Below are 24,961 nucleotides of genomic sequence, written 5' to 3'. Positions count from 1 at the left end.
CTGGGACTACAGGCGCCCGCCACCACACCTGGCTACTTTTTTGTATTTTTAGTAGAGATGGGGTTTCACTGTGTTAGTCAGGATGGTCTCAATCTTCTGACCTTGTGATCCACCTGCCTCAGCCTCCCAAAGTGCTGGGATTACAGGTATGAGCCACCATGCCTGGCCGCCCAGCTAATTTTTGTATTTTTAGTAGAGATGGGGTTTCACCATGTTGGCCAGGCTGGTCTGGAACTCCTGACTTGATCCACCTGCCTCGGTTTCCCAAAGTGCTGATATTATAGGTGTGTGCCACTGTGCCTGGCCAATTTTAGTTTAATGCTTCAAACTGAAAACACACTGAAAGCCCAGTGTGCTTTCAGCGGTGTACGTTAATGGTGTGTACCCATACAACCATTTTGCTTTTTACTTTCAGTAGGGTATTTAATAAATTACATGAGATATTCAGCACTTTATTATAAAATAGGCTTTGTGTTAGATGATTGCCCACCTGAAAGCTAATGTAAGTGTTCTGAGCATGTGTAAGGTAGGCTAGGCTAAGCTATATTGTTTGGTAGGTTGGGTGTGTTAAATGCATTTTCAGCTTATGATATTTTTAACTTATGATGGGTTTATTGAGATGTAACCCCATCAAAAGTAGAGGAGTGTCTATATTTATGCAATAGAATATTATTCAGCCATAAAGAAGAAAGAATTCCCATCATTTGCATCAACATGGGTGAACCTGGAAGGCATTATGCTAAGTGAAATAAGCCAAACACAGAAAGACAAATACTGCATAATCTCACTCAGTGAGGAATCTAAGAAAGTTGACACTGTAGAAGTAGAGAGTAGAATGGTGGTTGTCAGAGGTGGGGGTGGCTGGGGAGGGGAGTGGTTGGGGAGATCTGGCCAAAGGGTACATAATTACAGTAGATAGGAGGAATAAGTTCAAGAGATCTATTGTATAGCATCATGACTATAGTTAATATACTGTATTCTTGAAAAATGCAAAGAGAGTGGATGTTAAGTGTTCTAATCATAAAAATAATGATTATGTGAGGTGATGCATTTGTTAATTAGCTAGATTTAACCATTTCACAATGTGTATATATATATATATATATACTTCAAAACATTATATTGTACATGATAAATATAATTTTATCTGTCAATTAAAAGAAACATAAACAAAGTAAAAAGAAAAATTTTCTTTCAAATTTTGATTTAAAACTTATTTTATTTACACTTTATAATTCTTTTTGATACTTATTTTCTTTTCACCAACTGAAAAAAAAGTAGATGGTGTTCGGATACACTTTGAATGCCCGTACTCTATTATTTTCTTTTTTCTTTTTGAGACAGAGTCTCTCTCGGTCACCCAGGCTGGAGTGCAGTGGTACAATCTCAGCTCACTGCAACCTCAGCCTCCCAGGTTCAAGCAATTCTCCTGCCTCAGCCTCCCAAGTAGGTGGGATTACAGGTGCCTGCTATCATGCCTGGCTAATTTTTGTATTTTTAATAGAGACGGGGTTTCACTGTGTTGGCCAGGCTGGTCTCGAACTCCTGACATCAAGTGATCCACCCACCTCAGTCTCCCAAAATGTTGGGATGACAGGTGTGAGCCGCCGTGCCTGGCCTACATATTTATATTTTCTTTTTCTTTCTTTCTTTTTTTTTTTTTTTTTGAGACGGAGTCTCTCTCTGTCACCAGGCTGGAGAGCAGTGGCGTGATCTCGGCTCACCACAACCTCTGACTCTGTGTTCAAGCGATTCTCCTGCCTCAGCCTCCCTAGTAGCTGGGATTACAGGCATGTGCCACCATGCCCAGCTGATTTCTGTATTTTTAGTACAGGCAGGGTTTCACCATGTTGGCCAGGATGGTCTCGATCTCCTGACCTCGTGATCTGCCTGCCTCGGCCTCCCAAAGTGCTAGGATTACAGACGTGAGCCACCACACCTGGCCAATATTTATTTTTTTCAAAGAACTAAACTGATATTTATTAATGAGTAGCCTCGTTTTGAGGCGGAAGTTATAAAAGTTATAAGCAAGAGTGAAGTGGGTTCTTTTTTTTTTTTTTTTTTTTGAAACATAATCTCACTCTGTTGTCTAGGCTGGAGTGTAGTGGCACAATCTCGGCTCACTGCAACTTCCGCCTCACAGGTTCAAGCGATTCTCCTGCCTCGGCCTCCCAAGTAGCTGGGATTATAGGCACGAGCCAGCACACCTGGCTAATTTTTTCATATTTTTGGTAGAGATGGGTTTCACCACGTTGGCCAGGGTGGTCTCAAACTCCTGACCTCAAGTGATCTGCCTGCCTTGGCCTCCCAAAGTGCTGAATTACAGGCGTGAGCCACTGCACCAGGCCATGAAGTGGGTTCTTTTGTGCTAACAGCTACAGAATAACAGGAATCTGCAGTGACAGGAAAACTGTAAACAAACTAAGACTATTGCAGAGGGACAAATATACATCACTCTCCCCAGGCACATCCATGGGCAGGTTTAATGACTAAGCTATTTGGACAAGGAAGCTTTCTGATTTTCCTACATTTACGTGGTAAATGGAACCAAGATTAAAATTCAAGAGAATGGTCTCAACACACACACACAAACACACACACACACACACACACACACACACACACACCATGCAGGTCAGGTGCAGTGGGGCACGCCTGCAATCCCAGCTCTTTGGGAGGCCTAGGTGGGAGGATCACTTAAGTGAGGAGTTCCAGACCAGCCTGGCCAACATGGCGAAACCCTGTCTCTACAAAAAATAAGCCAGGTGTGGTGGCACGTGCCTGTAATCCCAGCTACTTGGGAGGCTGAGGCATGAGAATCGCTTGAACCCAGGAGGCAGAGGTTGCAGTGAGTGGAGATTGTGCCATTGCAATCCAGCCTGGGTGACAGAGTAAGACTCTGTCTCCAAAAAGAAAGAAAGAAAGAATAATCTAAGAAATGCAAATGAAAACAAGATATTTTAAAATCTATCAGATTAGCAATGATCAGACACTCTCATATACTGTCTAAATTGGTATACTTTTTCTGCAGATAAATTTAACTGTTTAAGTTAAAACATCTGTACTCTTTGACCCAGGGATTTCACTTTTAGGAATATATATAAAAGAATCAGGAACACAGAAGAAAATTTACATTTAACAGGTTTGATCACTGCATTATCTTTACAAGTGAAAAATTAGAAACAACTTAAATATTCACCCAAAGGGATATGGTTAAACAACTTATAGCATATCCATAAACGTATTGTAAATCTATTAAAAGGGTGTTTTTGAAGCATTTGGTGTGTTTAGAAAATATTCATGCTATACAGTGTTTTCCAATTGTATTGGAATGTCCCTTGAATTACGCTATTTTATATAAGGGACTTGAGCATCTGTGGGAGTATGGTGTCCTCAGGGGGTCCTGGGATCTATCCTCTGTGAATACAGAGGGCCAATTTACTGTTAAGAGGGTAAAATTCTGATAAAAGCTGTACATCCAGAACATTAATAATGTTATTGCTAATTTGTGCACTTATGGGTCTTTATTTTCCAAGTTTTTTATAATGAGCATATTTTTTAATTAGAAAAAATGCGTTCTTTTAAAAAATAGTAATAATATTCATTGGGAGACTGTAAGCAACATACATGCCTCTTGTATGTTTCATGCATTTCATTAAAAGCAGAGCTTAAGCGGCCGGGTGCGGTGGCTCATGCCTGTAATCCCAGCACTTTGGGAGGCCGAGGCGGGTGGATCACAAGGTCAGGAGATCGAGACCATCCTGGCTAACATGGTGAAACTCCATCTCTACTAAAAATACAAAAAATTAGCCGGGCGCAGTGGCGGGCGCCTGTAGTCCCACCTACTCGGGAGGCTGAGGCAGGAGAATTGCGTGAACCTGGGAGGGGGAGCTTGCAGTGAGCCAAGATCATGCCACTGCACTCCAGCCTGGACGACAGAGCGATGCTCCGTCTCAAAAAAACAAAACAAAACAAAACAAAAAACAGATCCTAAGCTAGTTCTGGCTACTCTAAGAAAGACTATGATTATGCTGCTAAGTTCTATGTATAATATGAAAAGTCAATACAGAATATGGAAAAAATCAATTTAGCCAGTATTTTAAAATGAATTTCATTTTAGAGGTTTTAAAAAGTTAGGGGATTGGCCAGGCACAGTGGCTCATGCCTATAATCTCAGCACTTTTTGAGGCTGAGGAGGGCAGATCACCTGAGGTCAGGAGTTCGAGACCAGCCTGGCCTACACCGTGAAAACCTGACGCTACTAAAAACACAGAAATTAGCCAGGCGTGGTGGCAGGTGCCTGTAATTCCAGCTACTCAAGAGGCTGAGGCAGGAAAATCGCTTGAACCGGGGAGGCGGAGGTTACAGTGAGCCGAGATCGGTGCCACTGCACTCCCGCCTGGGCAACAGAGCAAGACTCCATCTCAAAAAATGAAAAAAGAAGTTAGGGGATTATATATCTTTAAATGTAGTATCTTTGAATAATTGCTTGACTTTGTATCTGGGAACTGTTCTTTGCGTCTGGACACCAAGTAAAACATTAACTTTTTGATTTCCTTTTCCAAGAAGAAGACGTAAAGCAGGCTACCAGCAATTTTGAGAACTTGCAAAAACAGCTTGCAAGGAAAATGAAGCTTCCTATTTTCATAGCAGATGCATTCACAGCAAGAGCATTTCGTGGGAATCCTGCTGCTGTTTGCCTCCTAGAAAATGTAAGTGCTTGGTTTTGAATTACAGTACCTGAAATTCTAGATTCCTGTAGAAACAATTACTTATTTTAAAAGACTAGTTTCACCTGTTTGTTTACCTCTTTGGTTTGTGTTCTTTGCCATCATATCAGTAATGTTCATGTATGCAAGTTGATTTTGACCAAAGTATTTGATAAAAATGCCTATGCCTTGGGTACGTCCAATGAAATGAAGATTCAGATAAAGAGGAACTAGAGCCAATTTTAAAAAAGAAGAGCTAGAGCTCCCTTTTAGCCATCAGGTTTTCATTTAGTTAGCACCAAGTGTTGAGGAGAATGAAATTAGATGAGTTTTGTGTGACTAGACATAGCCAATTTCACATTGAGCATAACAGATCCTAACTGAGTATCTTTAACCTTATCTATAGCTCAGGCAATTAGAAATTCTTTTCAGGATCAAGAAAATGAGACATTTTGCAAGGAATTAAGTAGTTAAGTAGAGAGGTAGAAGGAATTAAGCTATAGTATATAAATAACTTACTGAAAGACTCATTTTTAAAATGGCTTTTTGATTAGGATACATATTAATGGAATAGTTAAATATTAATGGAATAGTTAAATATTAATAGTTAAATAGATAAATATTAATAGAATAGTTAAATATTTAAATATTGTTAATAGTTAATATTTAAATATTGACCCTCAAGGTCAAGGAATATTGACCTTGTGTTGGTCCCTAAGTAGTGAGAAACAAGGTAAGGCGTTTCTGAGTGCTTTCACTCAGAGCAGTTAGCACAAGAGTAGATTATCTGAAAATTACTTCAAGAAGACAGTTAGCAATTGATGATCTTAAATAAGTCATATTAAGTTGGGCAAAGTGTGTGTTGGGGCCTTCAGGGACAGTGAATCTCAACCTGGCTATACATGAAAATCACCCAAGGAACTTTGAAAATGCTGTCTTCTAGAGCAATTACAACAGGCTCTCTGGGAGTTGGGGGGAAGCAGTGTTTTTTTGTTTTGTTTTGTTTTTGAGACGGAGTTCCGCTCTTGTTGCCCAGGCTGGAGTGCAATGGCGTGATCTGAGCTTACTGCAACATCCGCCTCCCGGGTTCAAGTGATTCTCTTGCCTTAATCTCCCAAGTAGCTGAGATTACAGGTGCCCGCCACCATGCACGACTAATTTTTTATATTTTTAATAGAGATGGGGTTTCGTTATGTTGGCCAGGCTGGTCTCGAACTCCTGACCTCAGGTGATCTACCTGCCTTGGCCTCTCAAAATGCTGGGATTACAGGCGTGAGCACCGCGCCCGGCCAGCAGTGTTTTTTTTAAAGTTCCCCAAGTGATTCCAGTGTGCAATCATGATGGAGAACTGGGCTGGGTGTGGTGGCTCTTGCCTATAATCCTAGTACTTTGGGAGGCTGAGGCAGGAGGATTGCTTGGGGCCAGGAGCCAGAGTCCAACCTGGCCAACACAGCGAGACCGTGTCTCTAAGAAAAAAGAAAAAAAAAAAAAAAGGAGGACTGATGAGCGGAATGTCGTTTTTTATTGCTGTTGTTGTTGTTTTTTATTTTTTAAAACTTTATATAAAATAGAGATGTGGTCTCGCTAAATTGAGCAGGCTGGTCTCAAACTCCTGGATTCAAGTGATTCTCCTATCTTGGCCTTCCAAAGTGCTGGGATTACAGGCCTGAGCCACTGCACCTGGTGGAATATTATTAATTGAGTCCTTTTCACACTTATTTTCTCCCTTAAGTGGAGCAGTAAGGTGGCCATCAAGAGTCCTTGTCTTACCTTAACTCTACATTCATTACGCAGACTTGAGCTGGTATTTTCTCTCCACAAAATGCAGAAGGTAATAAACTTTGTCCATTATTACAAGAGTTTGGGAAGATTAGTATGAAAACAATTAACAACCAGATTCCAAGTCATGACCTTTCTTTAGAAACAATCTGGCAGACACAACTTCCTGTCAAGGAATTGTGGAATTGACTATAACTGCTTGTCAAAAGTCTTAATACATTTGCCCCATGTCTGCATGTAATATCCTTGAAGAGTTTTGACAGTAGTTTATATTGAATAGAATATATTCCATTTTTATCAGATAACAAGAATTGGATTATTGTCCAACTTACTCCTTTTATTTCCAGTAAATTCAGCAAACATCAGACTTATGGGATTGATATCTCTTTCTTTCTTTCTTTCTTTTTTCTCTCTCTTTCTACCTATCTCTCCGTTAAAACATATTTTGTATGTTAATTATATATTTGGAAAAACTAGGAAATAAAAATTTAAGCAAAGAACTTACAGTTTAAAACAACACGCTTTAGTATGAATGGAAGAAGGAAAAAGAAGATAAGGAAGTCCATGATTTGGGGATGCTCTCTAAAGAGTTTTCCAATTCACTTCTTTTGAGGCTTGGGCCTGTGAGACCAGGAAAATTTCACGGCCTGTCAGAGACACCTGAATAGATATCTAAAGATTAGTTTGCTACGCCTCTTTGTCATGCTTTTCTGCTCTTTGGATGTGAGAATCTTATCCTCCTAGAGGCGAAGATAGCACTTTTCCTAATTCGTAATCAATAAAAATTATAATAGACGTATAAATGGTGGTGTCTGCCCTTGGGTTCATTGTCCTGAGATGGTGGAGAGAATACAGGTGGCCACAGGAAAATGTCAGAGACAAATAAACGCTAAATCTTATAATATTGGACACAATTCAGTAGGAATTCAGCCAGGCTCTGGGCTAGGAGCCAGAGGTACAAAGGTTAACAAGTTCACCTGCCCTTGAAGGGCTCAGAGTCTAGTGCAGAAAATGGGCATGTAAACCCATCGTTATTCAGTAGTCACTACAGAGACTAAAAGACCTGAAGGTACCAGGCCTCAGAGAATGGAATAATGTTAGGTTTTATGAGGTAAAAATACCTCAGATTTTAAGTGCAGGGCTTCAGATGATTTTTTTTTTTGTAGCTTTGTTTTAAGTTATTCAAAATTTGACCAGGATGAGAGTAACCACAGGAAAACCTGGTGGATAGACTAAAGACTAGGTCGTGGTGCTTTGAGCTTTTTGAACACTTGATAAAAGACTACTGAAAGTAAAGTAAAAACTTCTGAGTAATAAAGTTCAAGAGCTTCTATAATATTCTAAAGGATTTTTTGTTTTCAAGACAAGTCCATTTTTAAATTTTTTAATTTTTATTTTTTTGAGACAAGCAATCTTCCCACCTCGGCCTCCCAAAGTGCTGGGATTACAGGTGTGAGTCACCACGCCCGGCTGACATTTTTAAATTTTTAAATTTTTCACATGACAACATATAACACTATACATTAGGTGAAAACAAAAACAAATTAACGGCTACCTGGAAACATAGAACAAATATTTGAAAACAATGTAATAAAAATTGTCTGGGTGCGGTGGTTCACACCTGTAATCCCAGCACTTTGGGAGGCCGAGGCAGGCAGATCACCTGAGGTCAGGAGTTTGAGACCACCCTGGCCAACATGGTGAAACCCCGTCAAATTAGCCAAGGTTAAAGACCAGCCAAAAATTAGCCAGGTGTGGTGACGCATGCCTGTAATCCCAGCTACTCGGTAGGCTGAGGCAGGCGAGTTGCTTGAACCTGGGAGGCAGAGGTTGTAGTGAGCCCAGAGAGCACCACTGCACTCCAGCCTGGGCGACAGAGTGAAACTCCTTCTCAAACATAAATAAATAAATAAATAAATAAATAAATAATTGATGGTGTCCTCAGATGCCTGACAATCCGTTTGACAATAAAGACCTTGTAGAAACATGGAAAATGTATAGAAGCAATGTAAAAAGTAAAACAGATACATTATGATGATAGCTGGGTAAAAAACTAGAGGGACCCATGACTAGCTACTGGTTGTGGTGGTAACAACCAGTGGTGCTTTTTTTTTTTTAAATTCTAATTTTTTTTTTTTTTTCCAGAGACAGGACCTTGCTTTCTCCCCTAGGCTGGAGTACAGTGGCATGATTATAGCTCACTGCAGCCTTGAACTCCTGGGCTCAAGCTATCCGCCTGCCTCAACCTCCAGAGTAGCTGAGACAACAGGTGTGCACCACCACGCTCAGCTAATTTTTATTTTTTGTAGAGACAGGGTCTTGCTATGTTGCCCAGGCTGGTCTCTAACTTCTGGCCTCAGGTGATCCTCTCACCTCAGCCTCCTAAAGTGCTTGGACAAGAGCCACTGCACCCAGCCTAATGTTTTGTCAATTTTAGTTTACAAGTTTGCCACTTCCTTGATGGTTTTAGAACTTTCTCCATCCAGGTGTGTTGAATTTACTGGAACCTTATCTACAGCAGAGGGACAAATGAACAATAAGGACTGATAAGTCGGGACTGTCATATTCAGGTTGCCATATTTCAAAACTGCCACAAGATGGGAGTATTTTAAAACTTTACTCTGATTTTCTGATCATTAATCTTTGTGGGTCATAAGGCGATGGAACCTCGGTATGCCAAAGCAGTACACTGGAATTCAGAAAGGCAAACATCACTCTGTTTTTGCTGTTGGAAATTTGATTCACATGAGATGGCCAAAGGGAAATGGATATTAAAGCAAGGGAATTCATAGCTGTTGGTTTGTAACTGTTTTGTGCAGCGTTTGAAAAGAAGCTCCTAGTGTAAAATGGAAAAATTGCTGAAAAGAAAAGCCAGTATTTTGAACAAATGCATCCTCTCTCTTTTGTTTGTAAGGCTTTCAAAGTTGAAGTCTTTCCATGATTCACCATTGTCTTGACCTTTGGTTGCAGTGTAGAAATTCAGTGAAAGTCCAGCTGCCAGTGGTACATGTTGTGGGCTGCTACTGTTAAACTTTCCACGTGTCTCTGGTCCCTCAGGCAAATAGCAGGTGCATTTTTTAGTGTCCTGAAATAGAAGTTACAGTTATATAAATTCAAATTGCAAGAAATGCAGTATACCAAGGTAGAGAGGATTAAAGAGCTGGTGGGCAGTGGACTTTGCGTCCTAGCTAATGTGTGAAAGGGCCCATTTGCAAAGAAATCTATTACCAATAGATGGTGAGCTTGGCTACAATGTAGGATGTTTTAATACTTTTAAAGACTTATCCTAAAGGTCACAGGGAGCTATAGAGAAAGAAAGGAAGGACGAAGATAGGAAGTTTCGCCAGATCATATAGAGGAAGGACTGACAGGCACTTTAGGTTTCTGCAAGCAAGGAGGCAAGTCCAGGAAGGCCAGCAAAGGCTTTTCTTGATCACCTTTCGATTACCACTGAGACTTGTGATTGCAGACTCTGCACTAAGGGGCTTAAATACCTCCCAGTTTCTATCAGGTGTTGTGTGCATGTGCATCTGGACCAGTTTCCACAGAAAACATTCAACAGGCCATGGAGAGTGCTTGAGTTCAATTGTTAACATTGTTGTCTTGTTGGCTGGGACTTTCCAGTGGCCCCCTCTACTCCTCTTCTTAGGTGGGATTTCTCACTTATCCAGGCCCACAGGTGCCCACAGGTGGGACAGGTACTCATCCCACTGCATTTTCACCATCCTACTTCTAGAATTCTAGAGTGTCCATTATGTTAAAGTTTAATCTCTGATTTAACAAGAGAATGGGCGGGTGCGGTGGCTCATGCCTGTAATCTCAGCACTTTGGGAGGCCGAGGTGGGTGGATCACCTGAGGTCAGGAGTTTGAGACCAGTCTGGCCAACATGGTGAAACCTCATCTCTAATAAAATACAAAAATCAGCCGGGTATGGTGGCACACACTTGTAATCCCAGCTACTCAGGACGCTGAGGCAGGAGAATCACTTGAACCTGGGAGGCAGAGGTTGCAGTGAGCCAGATCGCACCACTGCACTCCAGCCTGGGTGACAGAGCGAGATTCCGTCTCAAAAAAACAGAACAAAACAAAAAAACAGAAGTGAGATCAAGCAACTTGCCTAAGAAGCTGTCCTAATACAAAGCTCTTTGCACACACTTTTCTGTCCAAATCACCGAAATCTCCCCTCTTTTCTAGGTTCACCACAAGACCTCATCTTTAAAGTTTTAGAGTATTTATTGTCAAAATCTATGTGTCTCAATGACATTTTCTCTGGTATTGTTCACAGTTGCTGTCTGTGGCTGTCTTGACTCCCCACCTAGATGCTAAGTCCCTTGAACACAACCATGGCTTATACACAAGGGTTTCTCAAACTTTAATGTGCACACGATCACCTGGGGAGCTTGTGAAAATGGAGATTCTGATTCAGAATGTCGGAGGCCCAAGACAGGGGGCCTCGGACTCTGCATTTCTAACAAATCCCCTTAGTTGTGTTGCCGTGCTCCTGGCTCAGCACAGTACTCATTAATTTATTTATTGCTGTTCCGTCTTAGAAACCTTGCAGGGGTCCATTTTCTCTGCTAGACGTTTGTTTTCCCTGTCTGTAGCATGTTACAGGGTTAATAATCGTTTGTCTTTGTGATGGGCAGGCAGTGTAGTGTGGCTAGTTAAAGCATGACTTTGAGCCACTCAAATAAAAAGCTAACATGTATCAAGTACCTACTACGTGTTGGGCACTGGGATGAGTTATCTCTTTCTCTCTCTCTTTCTGTTTCTTTCAGTCTCTCTCTGGGTAAGCCGGGGCGTAGAGGATCATGCCTGTAGTTCTAGCACTTTGGGAGGCCAATATGGGCGCATTGCCTGAGCTCAGGAGTTCCAGACCAGCCTAGGCAACATGGTGAAACTCCATCTCTACTAAAATACAAAAAATTAGCTGGGCATGGTGGTCTGCACCTGTAGTCCCAGGTACTCAGGAGGCTGAGATGAGAGAATCGCTTGAACCCAAGAGGCATAGATCGCAGTGAGCTGAGACAGTGCCACTGCACTCTAGCCAGGGTGACAGAGCGAGACTCTGTCTCAAAAAAAAAAAAGCTTATTATGTTTCCTGCCATGATTTATTTATTTATTTATTTTTGAGATGGAGTCTTGCTCTGTCACCCAGGCTGGAGTGCAATGGCATGATCTCGGCTCACTGCAACCTCTGCCTCCCGGGTTCAAGTGACTACTGCTCAACCTCCTGAGTAGCTGGGATTACAGGCGCGCACCACCACTCCTGGCTAATTTTTGTATTTTTAGTAGTGATGGGGTTTTGCCATGTTGGCCAGGCTGGTCTCGAACTCCTGACCTCAGGTGATCTACCCGCCTCGCCCTCCTAAAGTGCTGGGATTACAGGCATAAGCTGCCACACCTGGCCCCTGCTAAGATTTTTATATCAGCCGGTAGTTTTAAAATCATGACTGATTTTTCACAATAATCACACTTTTATGCCCTATATAATTATATGGAACATGTTTCAAAAGATTTTGAATCAAAGACAAGAGTGTTTAATTTGGATAACTCAGAGAAGTGAATTATGAATTTATTAATATAAAATTATAATTCTTCTGGGTTTCAGGAGATCAAGAGCAATAAATTTGGCCAAAACAAAAATGCATTTGTCTTGAAATTTCTTTAAAATTCAAAATCTAACTAGTAGATTTCCGTTAGAAAGAGTTTCAGGAGATCAAGAGCAATAAATTTGGCCAAAATAAAAATGTGTTTTCTTGAAACTTCTTTAAAATTCAAAATCTAACTAGTAAGCATTTTATTGATTAAAAATGGATTTTTCTTCTCAAAAGGAAAACATACTTCGGGTCCACTTTTTTTTTTTTTTTTTTTTTTGAGACGGACTCTCACTCTGTCACCCAGGCTGGAGTGCAGTGGCGCGATCTTGGCTCACTGCCACCTCTGCCTCCCAGGTTCAAGCAACTCGCCTGCCTCAGTTTCCCGAGTAGCTGGGATTACAGGCGCGTGCCACCACTCTCGGCTAATTTTTTTGTATTTTTAGTAGAGATGGAGTTTCTCCATATTGGCTACGCTGGTCTCAAACTCCTGACCTCGTGATCCACCTGCCTCAGCCTCCTAAGGTGCTGGGATTACAGGTGTGAGCCACCACGCCCAGCTGGGTCCACTTTTTTCTTGAGTTAAGAGGAATGTGTGTGTGTGTGTGTGTGTGTGTGTGTGTGTGTGTATTCGTATGCATGTATATATCTTCACAATAAACCTTGACTTAAGTGCTATTATTCCCATCTTAAAGGTGTGGAAACTGAGGCCATAAGATTAAATGACTTGCCCACTTTTACACTGCTGCTAGGAGCTCACACAGGATAGAAATTCAATTCTGTTTTCAAACCCACATAATTTTTCTAAATATTTTATTTTGAAAAATTAAAAACCTACAGAAAAGTTTCAAGAATGGTATGATGAACATGCATATTCCCTTTCTCTAGATTCACCAGTTGTTACTGTGTAAAAAAAAATTTTTTTAGAGTCAGGTTCTCGCTATGTTGCACAGGCTGGTCTCCAACTCCAGGGTTCAAGCGATCCACTCTCCTTGGCCTCCCAAAGTGCTGGCATTATAGGCATGAGCCTCCCAAAGTGCTGGGATTATAGGCATGTGCCTGGCCAGTTGTTACTATTGTCCACATTTGCAAAGCCCTCATTCTTTTTCTTTTTTCTTTTCTTTTTTGTTTTTGAGACAGGATCTTGCTCTGTCGCCCAGGCTGGAGTGCAGTGGCACAATCATGGCTCACTGCAGCCTTGACTTCTGGGCTCAAGAGATCCTCCTACCTCCGCCTCCCGTATAGTCTGGACCATAAGCAAGCACCACCATGCCTGGCTAAATTTTTTATTTTTATTTTTTATTGAGACTGGGGGGTGGTCTTGAACTCCTGGTCTCAAGCAATCTTCCTGCCTTGGCCTCCCAAAATGCTAGGATTACAGGCATAAGCCACCATGCCCAGCTAAAGCCCTTACTCTTTTTTTTTTTATTTAAATCTTTTTTTACAGAGACAGAGTCTTACTATGTTACCCAGGCTGGTCTTGAACTCCTGGACTCAAGCTGTCCTCCCGCCTCAGCCTCCCAAAGTGCTGGGATTACAGGCGTGAGCCACCATGCCTAACTAAGCTCTCATTCTTAATCACTGTACTGTTTATTAGGTATATTGTGGTCTTAGGATATTATATGATCTCTCCGTTTAATTTCTTCATTTGTAAGGGTATAAAAATATTTACATTGAGGGTTTTAAAAATGAGATTAAGTGAAATAATGTACTTATTTTTTCAACAAATGTTTACTGATCTCCTACTGTGCTGGGATGAATACCAGGCATTGTTCCAGGTCCCGGCAAAGCAAGACAGCACAGTCCATACCCCAACAGAACTTAGAATCAGAGGTGGCGAGGCCAGACAGTAAAGGGCACACCAGGCAATTTCAGGACATCTAAGCACTGGAGAGGAGACAACACCTTTAGACACAGTGGTCTGGGAAGGCTTACTGGAGGAGGTGACCCCTGGCCTGAAGCCCTTCCCATGAAAGAGAGTGAACCATGCAAAGACAGGGGAGGAGTGGTCCAGCCTGCCCAGAGTGAGTGCTGAACCTCGCTTTCACCAGCAAAGCAAAGGAGATTGGGGTACTTCCTTGTGTGGAGATTGTTTTTAGAAGACAGCACACTCTGTCAGCTAGACTAGATCTTACTGTGACAAAAGACAGGCCAGGCCAGCCAGTTTTTCACAGTCTATTCCAGCTTGCACATTTATAACCCTTCTTCACAGGGCACTGCAAGCATGGGTTTCTGAGAACCAATCTTTATAAAAGTGCCTTGAATTCCTTGGTAATTATTTCCTTTTAAGCGTGTAACTCTTATTATTGCTAAACTGCTTTTTAAGTTAATGGTAGTTGTTGTCCAAAGGAAGTCTGATCTGTGTTTTTGAAACCTCAATGATCGTCTGTTTCTAATTAAGGAATTGGATGAAGACATGCATCAGAAAATTGCAAGGGAGATGAACCTCTCTGAAACTGCTTTTATCCGAAAACTGCACCCGACAGACAACTTTGCACAAAGTAAATATGCATTTTTTTTTTTTAAGAACTGTTCTGTCGCACGGGCTGGAGTGCAGTGGCATGATCTTGACTCACTGCAACCTCCGCCTCCTGCGTTCAAGCAATTATTGTGCCTCAGCCTCCCGAAGTGCTGGCATTATAGGTGTGAGCCACCACACCTGGCCTAAATATGCACTTTAAAATAATTCTTGAATGACATCAGAAATTATTTTTTAGGTGGGGGAATGATCTTTAAGGAAAATGCCCCCTTATTATTTGCATGCAGATAGTAGATAGAGCGGGAGATTCTGATTTGGTTTCGGTTCATTTGGGGAAGGGGGTTTTGGTGAATCTGAATGTTTCCATTCCAGATCTAGCACTGGGGAGCCCTAGGATGCTTGCCTAGCCATCATTCCTCCTTTTACAACATGTTTTGGCTACTCATCATGCTAGAGAACTATATAGGAAAGAAGAAAATGAGAAATCTGTGACCTGCTTGCATGGGAATGATCTCATCTCTCTTTGGCTTTTCCTATCCTCAGGTTCCTGCTTTGGACTGAGATGGTTTACACCAGCGAGTGAGGTCCCACTCTGTGGCCATGCCACCCTGGCTTCTGCAGCTGTGCTGTTTCACAAAATAAGTAATGTGATTTTCTTTAATGAATCTAACACTTAGCAAATGGCTTTTTTTTTTTTAAGTTCTCACACACACTTTTTCTGATGGTCCAAAGTGACTGGTATAAAGACTCTGCAGAGTTTACTTCATGCTATTCATAATGCAGAAACAAAACCAGCGACCTTCAATAGCACTTTGGCCTTTCTGAGTATGTGCCCAGCATCATTGGAAAGCTGCGATCAGAATGCTATTTTATTTTATTTTTATTTTATTTTACTTTCTGGTCTACAAAGAATTTGACAACCATTTTATTTTATTTTATTATTTTTTGAGACAGAGTCTCACTGTGTTGCCCAGGCTGGAGAGCAATGGCACGATCTTGACTCACTGCAACCTCCGCCTCTCTCCACCTCCTGGGTTCAAGCGATTCTCCTGCCTTAGCCTCCTGAGTAGCAGGATTACAGGCGCCCACCACCACACCCAGCTAATTTTTGTATTTTTAGTAGAGATGGGGTTTTACCATGTTGGCCAGGCTGGTGTCAAACTCCTGGCCTCCAGTGATCCATCTGCATCGGCCTCCCAAAGTGCTGGGATTATAGGCGTGAGGCACCATGCTTGGCCTCATTTTAAACTGGAGATCTCTGGTCTTTGTGAAGCTTGCATGGGCAGAATTGTCATCTCATACGATATGAGATTGGAGATCAACAGGAACATTTCACTCCAATTATTTCCGCTCCCACATTGAAATTCATTTCACAATAAGAGATTCTTCAATAAACATTTTTTTTTTTTTTTTCTGAGATGGGGCCTGGCTCGGTTGACCAGACTGGAGTGCAGAGGCAGGATATCAGTTCACTGCAACCTCTGACTCCTGGGCTCAAGCCATCCTCCCACTTCAACCTCCAAAGTAGCTGAGACCCCAGGTGCACACCACCACACCTGGCTAATTTTTGTATTTTTGTTAGAGACAGGGTTTTGCTATGTTGCCCAGGCTGGTCTCAAATTCCTGAGCTCAAGTGGTCTGCCCACCTTGGCCTCCCAAAGTGCTGGGATTACAGGCATGAGCCACCACGCCCGGCCAATAAGAGCTTCTTTGCTCTAAATTTGAAGATTCCTGGGCCCCCACTGTATACATTCACCTTAAAAGGAGTTGCAGCACCTTAATTCTGCCAGTTTCTATCTTAGCTGCATTTAGTTTAATGGACAAAGATCAGGGCCTTGTGGGGATGGGACAGAGAAGAGATTCCTGGGAAATGCCCTAAAACAGGAGATGGAAGCAGCCACAAACAAGCATAGACAGCAAACGGAAATGGAAACAAGGAAAGAAACAGGATGATAGGACAGAATGTCACTGTGGGGGATGGGCAAAACCCCGTCTCTACTAAAAATACAAAAATTAGCTGAGCATGGTGGCGGGCGCCGGTAGTCCCAGCTACTCAGGAGGCTAAGGCAGGAGAATCGCTTGAACCTGGGAGGCCGTGGTTGCAGTGAGCCGAGATTGTGCCATTGCACTCCAGCCTGGGCGACAGAGCGAGACTCCACCTCGAGGAAAAGAAGAAAAAGAAAGTAGGATTGAATAGAGGGAGAAATTGAACTGCAGAGTAGTAGCAACAAGGAAAGGCCTAGGCCAAATCCGTGGGGAGCTCTAAAGCTGGACATTTTTTCAAGTAGTATAGTTCCAAGTAGAGGCAAAGATTCAGGCCTTTTTACCCTCCATGGACCAGTTCCCAAAGCCTGGAAAAGATGTATGACTTTGGGCAAGGTAGCTCTACTCAGCCAAAGGTAACTCCAAGAGAGTGACTCAGTTGAGAGCTGTTGGCCACTAGCACTCTGGGCAAGCAGGGTCAGGGCCAGGTGTAGGCAGAGCCAGCAAGGCCCCAGGTTGCAGCTGAGAGCAGGTGTCTCCTTACATTTTGTACCCTATGGTACTTCCTTGCCTCATGGAGTCCCAGTCCTGAGGCCATGGGTCAGACATAGAATATGGATCAGCACCCACCAGAGAAGGGGAACTTTGGGCGAAAGGATAAGATGAAGCATCTGTGGGATGAGCTAGAGCGAGAGGAGGAGCATCCCAGGCAGAGGCTAACAAGTGCAAAGTCCCTGGGGCCTGTCTATATGATTGGCAGGAGATAAAGTTGAGAAGCCATATAATGTAATTCAATATACATTTTAAAAAGATGATTTTGGTATCTGTGGATAGGGGACATGTGCAAAAGGCAAGCAAACATTCCGAAATGTTTAGGAATTGAGTCTTGAAAAATAGGGTTTACTGAAATTAAATTGAGTGTCTTTTGTTTTTTTGTTTTTGTTTTTTTGAGATGGAGTTTTGCTCTTGTCACCCAGGCTGGAGTGCAATGGCAAGATCTTGGCTCACTGCAACCTCTGCCTCCTGTGTTTAAGTGATTTTCCTGCCTCAGCCTCCCAAGTAGCTGGGATTACAGGTGCCTGCCACCACGCCTGGCTAATTTTTGTATTTTTAGTAGAGATGGGGTTTTACCATGTTGGCCAAGCTGGTCTCAAACTCCTGACTTCGGGTGAACCACCCGCCTCGGCCTCCCAAAGCAAGATTGAGTGTCTTTTGAAAACTGGACTCCACGTGGGTTGGTTTGATGCTGAGGTTTGGAATAATAACATCCTGGAAACCCCCATAGGGCAGTCTTCAGGTTAGATAAGATAAGGTATGAAAAAATGCTTTGTAAATAATGTCTTATGCAAATCGTAATGAGAAAAATTAAGCTTTGTGTTTCTGAATGTCAATTTTATGCTCAATAAAAGTTAACAAGCCAAAGTTCTTCACCTTTGACATGTGGTTTAAGTTTTACAGAAATATTAAGGGAGAGAAAAGAATTGGGTCAGCATTCTTTGTTTTCACTAAAAATGTTATACACACTGATAAGTAGCCCAAGTTGTATCAGTAACATGGGATGCCAACATTTGTGGTGCATTCTTTAAATTACATTGTTATGTAAAAAGTTTGGTTCATTTAGGATAAACCAAATTTATTTCATATAACACTGATATTTACAACTTAAATGTTTTGTTATTCCCTTGGCGTATCTTAGACTAGAAGAGGTTATGACTCTATGGTTGTTGCTGCTGGATATTTTAAAATCTGTATTAGAAACATTACAGGCTGGGTGCAGTGGTTCATGCCTGTAATCCCAACACTTTGGGAGCCAAGGCGGGAGGATTGCTTCAGTCTAGAACTTAGAGACCAGCCTGAGCAACATAGTGAGACCCTGTCTTTACAAAATATTTAAAAATTATCCAGGCATTATGGCTCATGCCTGTAGTCCCAGCTACTGGGGAGGCTGAGGTGGGAGGATTGCTTGAGCTCAGGAGGTCAAGGCTGCAGTGAGCCAGTCCCCAGCCTGGTCAACAGAGTGAGACAGTTCCTCAAAGAAAGAGAAAACATTATAAATGGTAGGTTTAATGTATTAACCTCATTTTATAGATGAGGAAACTGAGATTTAAGGAGGCTGGCCAGGTGTGGTGGCTCACGCCTGTAATCCCAGCATTTTGGGAGGCCGAGGTGGGTGTATCACTTGAGGTCAGGAGTTTGAGACCAGCCTGACCAACATGATAAAACCTCGTCTCTACTAAAAATACAAAAATTAGCTGGATGTGATGGTGCACACCTGTAATTCCAGCTTCTTGGGAGGCTGAGGTGGGAGAATCACTTGAATGTGGGAGGCAGAGGGTACAGTGAGCTGAGATCGTGCCACTGCACTCCAGCCTGGGCAACACAGTGAGACCATGTCTCAAGAAAAAAAAAAAAGGAGGCTAAGTTAGTAAGGGCACAGTAAGCAGTAAAGAGCTGGGATCTGAAGCCTTGAAGTATGACGCCACATCTGATCAGTTATGTTCTTGGTTCTCAAGTTAGAATCTAGTGAGAGTTTTCTCCATTCTAGACCTCAGCAACCCAAACCTCGCTCCATCATAGAAAAGGATGACAGTGCCAGAAAATCTAAGACAATGCAAAGGTGTTTGAAATGGACATGCGCATATATGACAAAGTTTATTTCCTATTTCTTGATTCCTATTTTGGCCAGAAAACATGAATAGCACGCTCACGTTTGTCACTCTGAGTGGAGAACTAAGGGCCAGACGAGCAGAGGATGGCATCGTCCTGGACTTGCCTCTTTATCCAGCCCACCCCCAGGTCAGCTCTTTGTAATTATTGCCCTAAGCCATCTACAACCGACAGCTCTCCTGTTTTATAATAATTTTGTTTTTTTTCCCCCCATCTAGGACTTCCATGAAGTAGAGGACTTGATAAAGGTTGGTAAAAAGAATCAAACCTGAGCCTAGTTATTTGTTATTGTTTGCACACAAAGATTTGGTATCATTTGATCCACAAAGATAGGCATTTTACCAATATAAATGTTACAGTGTTTCAGGTTTGAATTTTAATATTCAGTCTATTTGGTGAGAAGGTTGACCAGTTTTCCTTGGCTCCTGATTGTCACTGCTGGCCCCCATGGTAGGATGGAGGGAAGAGACACTGTTATATGACAGGCTGAAAGGCACAAAAGAACCAATGGAGGTGGTAAAGAAGAGGGAGAATAGGATGTCTTAAGGAAATGTAAGTTTCTGGGAGGAGACCAGCCTTTAGGGAAATTAAGGGATGTTGAATTTCTGTGCTTCTCTAGCTAGAAGGAGAGGAATGGGCCCCGAGCATGGCTGTGCAAGTTCAGGTGTGAAAGTTGGGAATTTCTGGCAGAAAGAGGTCATTCCATAAAATCCATACACACAAGATGGAGGGAAAAAATGGAACCTTCCTGGCAGCTGTCAGTGTCCCCAGTTTCTGTAGTAAAGGATGGGACTGAGGTGGGGGAGGGCTGTGCTTTGATAGAGGAAACCAAGAAAGCATGAGTACCTTGCAGATAAGACAAGATACAGAACATGGGCTCCTCATGGGGTCTGTGTGGGCATGGGGCTTAATAATATTAATGATGATGAAACATTTTGAGAGTCTCTCTGTGTGCAGTGCCACATGCTGAGCATTTCACTTGCATTGTCCATTTAATTCTCAATGTTTCTCAGTAAGGTAGGCACTGCAGTTGTCCCATGAAGGTTCTGCAGGGCCAGAGCAGCCCTGGATGACCAGGGGCTTGGTGTGTAGAGAAGAGAGGGCCCAGGTCAGGACCAGGGCAAGGGCTGTCATGAGAAAAATGATTCTGTAGCTTAGTCTATTGTGAGTACTACTTGGGTATTTCTCAGTGAATTTTTAACTACAGCATTTGTAGTCTCTAGTATTTGGCTTTATCTGTGTTTTCAAAGAATATAAACAAATAAGCATGATGGATTCTGATTTTATACTCAACCCCATCCATGGCTTGGGTTTTGGAGACAAGCCAAATTTAAAAACAAACTGCTTTAAACATACTGGTAAGAAAGTGGAAAAAACTTATAATGGTAGACCTTGTTCATGGTAGAAAGAACTCAACTTAGTCTCAGGGTCAGCATTTATTAAATGGGATAACAAAGGGTTGTAAGTATTGCCATTTTGTGTTCTTCCCTAGAAACTGGCAGTAAGATTCCCAGCCAAGAATTAAACCTTTTTTTTTATTTGAGACGGAGTTTGCTCTTGTTGCCCAGGTTGGAGTGCAATGGTGTGATCTTGGCTCACCACAACCTTCACCTCCTGGGTTCTAGCAATTCTCCTGCCTCAGCCTCGCAAGTAGCTGAGATTACAGGCATGCGCCACCATGCCTGGCTAATTTTGTATTTTTAGTGGAGACGGGGTGTCTCCATGTTGGTCAGGCTGGTCTCGAACTCCTGAGCTCAGGTGATCCGCCTGCCTCGGCCTCCCAAAGAGCTGGGATTACAGGTGTGAGCCACCGCGCCCACCCCTGAACTTTTAAATCAATGTACAAACTCATGCAGATAAGGGCTGGGTTCGAGAGACTAAGGCTCTGGAGAACAGATGGGATCCGGCTGTAGGAGTTCCCATTTCTTGAGGAAGTTACATTGGTCAGCCCATAGTCACAGAGGCAGAAAGCCCAAGTACCACCCAAGGCAGAAGGAATTCTGGATGTGGGAACTGGAGTATCTTGGCCTCTAACAAGGATTAGAGAACCTGAAGCCACCTAGTGACTGCCATACAATTACCATGTAATTACCATCTGCTGGGCCTGGCAGCTGGGGCTGGTGCCAAAGGATGACTTGGTGGTGTGGGAAGGGGTTGTCTCCTCATAATCCCCCTCTGCCCCAAGCCACCCTCAAACAAACATACAAACAAATGATGTTCCTGGATTTCAGCAAGATTATGTGCAGTCAGGTAGAGTGAACCAGGGTATCTTGAGAACATGTTATGTTATTGATCTGTCACATACAATCTGAGTGAAAGTGGTGTGCTTGCCAAGCAGAGCAGCACAGGACGAGCCCTCTAGTCCCTCCTTCCAATCAAGCTGCTAGCCCTGAGTGCTTGCCGTGTGGAACGTTCTAATTGCTGCTGCAGATACTCCACATATACGATTTTATTTAATCCTCACAGCTCTAAGAGGTGGACATGAGGCCCCTCCATCTCTAAAGATGATGGACAGTAGGGATTTAGAGCTTTTTCTCTGACCTTCTCAGACCTGGGTCAAGATATGTGTGTGTGTGTGTGTGTGTGTGTGTGTGATCTTTGGCCTTTCTAAGTCTCTTTCTCCTTCTCTGTGGGGAGAATACCTACTTGAAGGAGTTGTGCATTGAGGCACATAGTAGGCACTTGTGAGAATGCCTATGTTTTTTTTCTTTTTTGAGACAGAGTCTCATTCTGTCTCTCAGGCTGGAGTGCAGTGGTGCGATCTCGGCCAAGTGATTCTTGGCTCACAAGTGATTCTTGGTTCACCAGGTTCAAGTGATTCTCTTGCCTCAGCCTCCCGAGTAGCTGAGATTACAGGAGTGCACCACCATGCCCGACTAATTTTTGTATTTTAGTAGAGATGGGGTTTTGCCATGCTGGCCAGCCTGGTCTCGAGCTCCTGACCTCAGGTGATCCACCTACCTCAGCCTCCCAAAGTGCTGGGATTACAGGTGTGAGCCACTGCACCTGGCCACAATGCCTGTTTTGAGGCTCACAGAGGCCTCTTTGGTAGCCAGGAGACTGACCATCCTTGGGCAACACCTTAAGCTCTGAAACTGCACTAACACTCTTGGGGACTGGAGACGATGGGCATGCTTGGCTCACAGTGGATGCTCAATGAGAGGTCATTTCCCATTTCAGGGGATCAAGGACTTGGCCCAGGGCATGTCCCTGAGGAGTTTTTGGTCTGTCTCCACAGACTGCCATAGGCAACACACTGGTCCAGGACATCTGTTATTCTCCAGATACCCAAAAGCTCCTCGTCCGCCTCAGTGACGTTTACAACAGGTAAGATTTTTGGCTGCATCAGCACTTTGGGGAGGGCTGAGTACCCAGATTTATAGCTCTTCCTTAGTCTGGCTGTGCTGTGTCCAGTCAAACCATGATTTACGCAGCCAGAGTGTTTCTTTCCCTGATAGGAAGACATTCCCACTTGTTCTTCCTTCCCCTCCTGTTAAGCTCTTTGAGCAAGCTGCACCCTGGCCTGCTTCACAGAGTCTGTGTGGTGAGTGGGCTGTGAAATGGGTTTGTCCTAATCCATCTTGTTTATGAACAAGGTCGTTTCTGGAGAACCTGAAAGTGAACACGGAGAATCTGCTGCAAGTTGAAAACACAGGGAAGGTGAAAGGGCTTATTCTTACCCTTAAAGGAGAGCCTGGTGGGCAGACCCAAGCATTTGACTTTTACTCAAGATATTTTGCACCGTGGGTTGGTGTGGCTGAAGACCCAGTGACAGGTACTTTTTACTTGAGCCCAGGGGAGGGTTAAACAATGGAAGAGGAGGATCACAAATAGTTATTTAAGTGCACTTCCTGTGACCTTTCAGGTGGCTTGAGTTTTGAGCTGCCTTGTTCCTCTATCTTTCCCCATCCCTGCCATCCCTTCACTGAAGTCTTCCATGAAAAACATAAAATAGAGCAGGTGGATAACAGGGTTAAACCTGAGTGTCAGACAGCCTGGGTTTACATTCCTAGCTTCCTAGCTTTTGACCTTGGGCAAGTGACTTGACTTTTAAAAGTCTCAGTTCCCTCCTCTATAAATTGTATATAATACCTCATAGGGCTATAAAAGCACAATGCATGTTAAGGGCTTAATACAGTGCCTGGCACCTAGTAAGTGCCCAATAACTACTAGCTATTATATTGTATTATTATATCTTTTTGAGACATAGTCTCACTTCATCACCCAGGCTAGAACGGAGTGGCATGATCCCGGCTCACTGCAACCTCAGCCTCCCAGGTTCAAGTGATTCTCCTGCCTTGGCCTCCCCAGTAGCTGGAACTACAGGCGTCTGCCACTACACCCGGCTAATTTTTGTATTTTTACTAGAGATAGGATTTCATCATGTTGGCCAGGATGGTCCCAAACTCCTGACCTCAAATGATCCCTCCTCGGCCTCCCAAAGTGCTGGGATTACAGGCATGAGCCACTGCGCCTAGCTAACTACTAGCTATTTTAATAATAACAACAAAACTAGCTCCTTGAGCCAACACTTCTAGATTGTCCACCACCTGGGAGCAGAGGGATGAGTCAAAGGTGGGCAGAAATGTCATGACTCCTACTCTCCCTCTCTTTGGGAACAGTGGGCTGCACTGCAAAGGACGAGAATGCTTGATGTGGGAGGATGGTGGGTGGGATGGTGAAGGGGCCACAGGAGGCTGGGCAGACCCTTCAGGGCTCCTGTTCTGGTCAGATGGCAGGGCCTGGATGGCTCAGTTACTCTCTGAGTAACAAAACACGTGAAATTCAAAACTCAGCAAACAAGCACTTTTAAGACTCAGGAAAATGCCCAACCATATCCAGAGTGCAGCTTCCCCATGGAAGAAAAGTTCCAAGCAGATTGCACAAGCACAGCTGCTTCACAAAGATTTTAATTGGCACAGAGTGCAAGTTTGTTTGTTTGTTTGTTTGTTTGTTTTTCCCCGTAATGCTTTTCTAGAGTATAAAGGCCTTTGGACTTTGATAACCAACATCTGAGTTTGCTTGGGACTGAAGGGTTTCTCAGGGCTCAGAACTTTCAGTGCTAAAACCAGAACAGTCTCAGGCAAACCAGGCAGGATGGTTGGTTGCCTTACTTGAACATCCCATAACACTTTTTTTTTTTTTTTTTTGCCCAGGCTGGAGTGCAATGGCACGTTCTCAGCTCCCTGCAACCTCTATCTCCCAAGTTCAAGAGATTCTCCTGCCTCAGCCTTCCGAGTAGCTGGGATTACAGGCAACTGCCACCATGCCAGGCTAATTTTTTGTATTTTAAGTAGAGACAGGGTTTTGCCATGTTGGCCAGGCTGGTCTTGAACTCCTAGCCTCAGGTGATCCACCTGCCTCGGCCTCCCAAAGTGCTGGGACGCCCACCCCATAACACTTCATAGGTTTTCCCAAACGAGAGGCTTTTCCTCCCCATCTTTTTCTTCGCAAAATATTTTTCTGTCAGTTATTGCTGTATATTTTGTTATTTCATTTTAAAATCCAATCTCTGATCTAAATCTAGAGTACAAACGTGAAAAAATACCTCACTAAAAAAGAAGTTCTTTTGGTGCCAAAAGCTCAGGAATGTTAGCTTGGTGGAAGAGTTTGCCTTTTGGCCAGGTGCAGTGGCTCATGCCTATAATCCCAGCACTTTGGGAGACCGAGGTGGGAGGGTTGCATGAGGCCAGGAGTTTCAGACCAGCCTAAGCAACATAGGGAGACCACGTCTCTACAGAAAAAT

The 24,961-nt window shown here is 43.1% G+C and overlaps 1 protein-coding gene across 6 annotated transcripts in view, besides 4 other annotated features; it reads left to right on the top strand.

Moving 5' to 3' along the window:
• PBLD (phenazine biosynthesis like protein domain containing) overlaps window positions 1-24,961 on the top strand; it is a 50,269-nt gene that overhangs the window by 21,456 nt on the left and 3,852 nt on the right. For 3 of the 6 annotated variants that reach the window (XM_017016513.2, NM_022129.4, NM_001033083.2), the window contains exons 2-8: window positions 4,570-4,712; window positions 14,488-14,587; window positions 15,109-15,207; window positions 19,235-19,344; window positions 19,434-19,463; window positions 22,454-22,542; window positions 22,812-22,990. In XM_017016513.2, the coding sequence (XP_016872002.1) occupies window positions 4,629-4,712; window positions 14,488-14,587; window positions 15,109-15,207; window positions 19,235-19,344; window positions 19,434-19,463; window positions 22,454-22,542; window positions 22,812-22,990 (691 nt within the window). In that variant the 5' untranslated portion in view covers window positions 4,570-4,628. Of the gene's footprint in view, window positions 1-4,566; window positions 4,713-14,487; window positions 14,588-15,108; window positions 15,208-19,234; window positions 19,345-19,433; window positions 19,464-22,395; window positions 22,543-22,811; window positions 22,991-24,961 lie in introns of those variants that run through there. The other 3 variants (XM_011540060.4, XM_005270028.5, XM_017016514.2) reach the window with 2 other exon arrangements.
• Window positions 10,535-10,735: a silencer, noted in NCBI's record as "peak990 fragment used in MPRA reporter construct". NCBI's record gives its function as "represses an SCP1 promoter by STARR-seq MPRAs in K562 erythroleukemia cells {active_cell/tissue: K562}" and the evidence as "EXISTENCE:reporter gene assay evidence [ECO:0000049][PMID:32103011]".
• Window positions 10,715-10,915: a silencer, noted in NCBI's record as "peak989 fragment used in MPRA reporter construct". NCBI's record gives its function as "represses an SCP1 promoter by STARR-seq MPRAs in K562 erythroleukemia cells {active_cell/tissue: K562}" and the evidence as "EXISTENCE:reporter gene assay evidence [ECO:0000049][PMID:32103011]".
• Window positions 14,823-14,992: an enhancer, noted in NCBI's record as "experimental_16478 CRE fragment used in MPRA reporter constructs". NCBI's record gives its function as "activates a minimal promoter by MPRAs in K562 erythroleukemia cells, with activity observed for both the introgressed and non-introgressed 10:70056323 variant alleles {active_cell/tissue: K562}" and the evidence as "EXISTENCE:reporter gene assay evidence [ECO:0000049][PMID:34662402]".
• Window positions 17,869-18,038: an enhancer, noted in NCBI's record as "experimental_16457 CRE fragment used in MPRA reporter constructs". NCBI's record gives its function as "activates a minimal promoter by MPRAs in K562 erythroleukemia cells, with activity observed for the non-introgressed 10:70053277 variant allele {active_cell/tissue: K562}" and the evidence as "EXISTENCE:reporter gene assay evidence [ECO:0000049][PMID:34662402]".

Source organism: Homo sapiens, chromosome 10 (assembly GCF_000001405.40).
Source record: "Homo sapiens chromosome 10, GRCh38.p14 Primary Assembly".
Classification (NCBI taxonomy): domain Eukaryota; kingdom Metazoa; phylum Chordata; class Mammalia; order Primates; family Hominidae; genus Homo; species Homo sapiens.
This window is presented reverse-complemented; position numbering and strand designations above follow the sequence as displayed.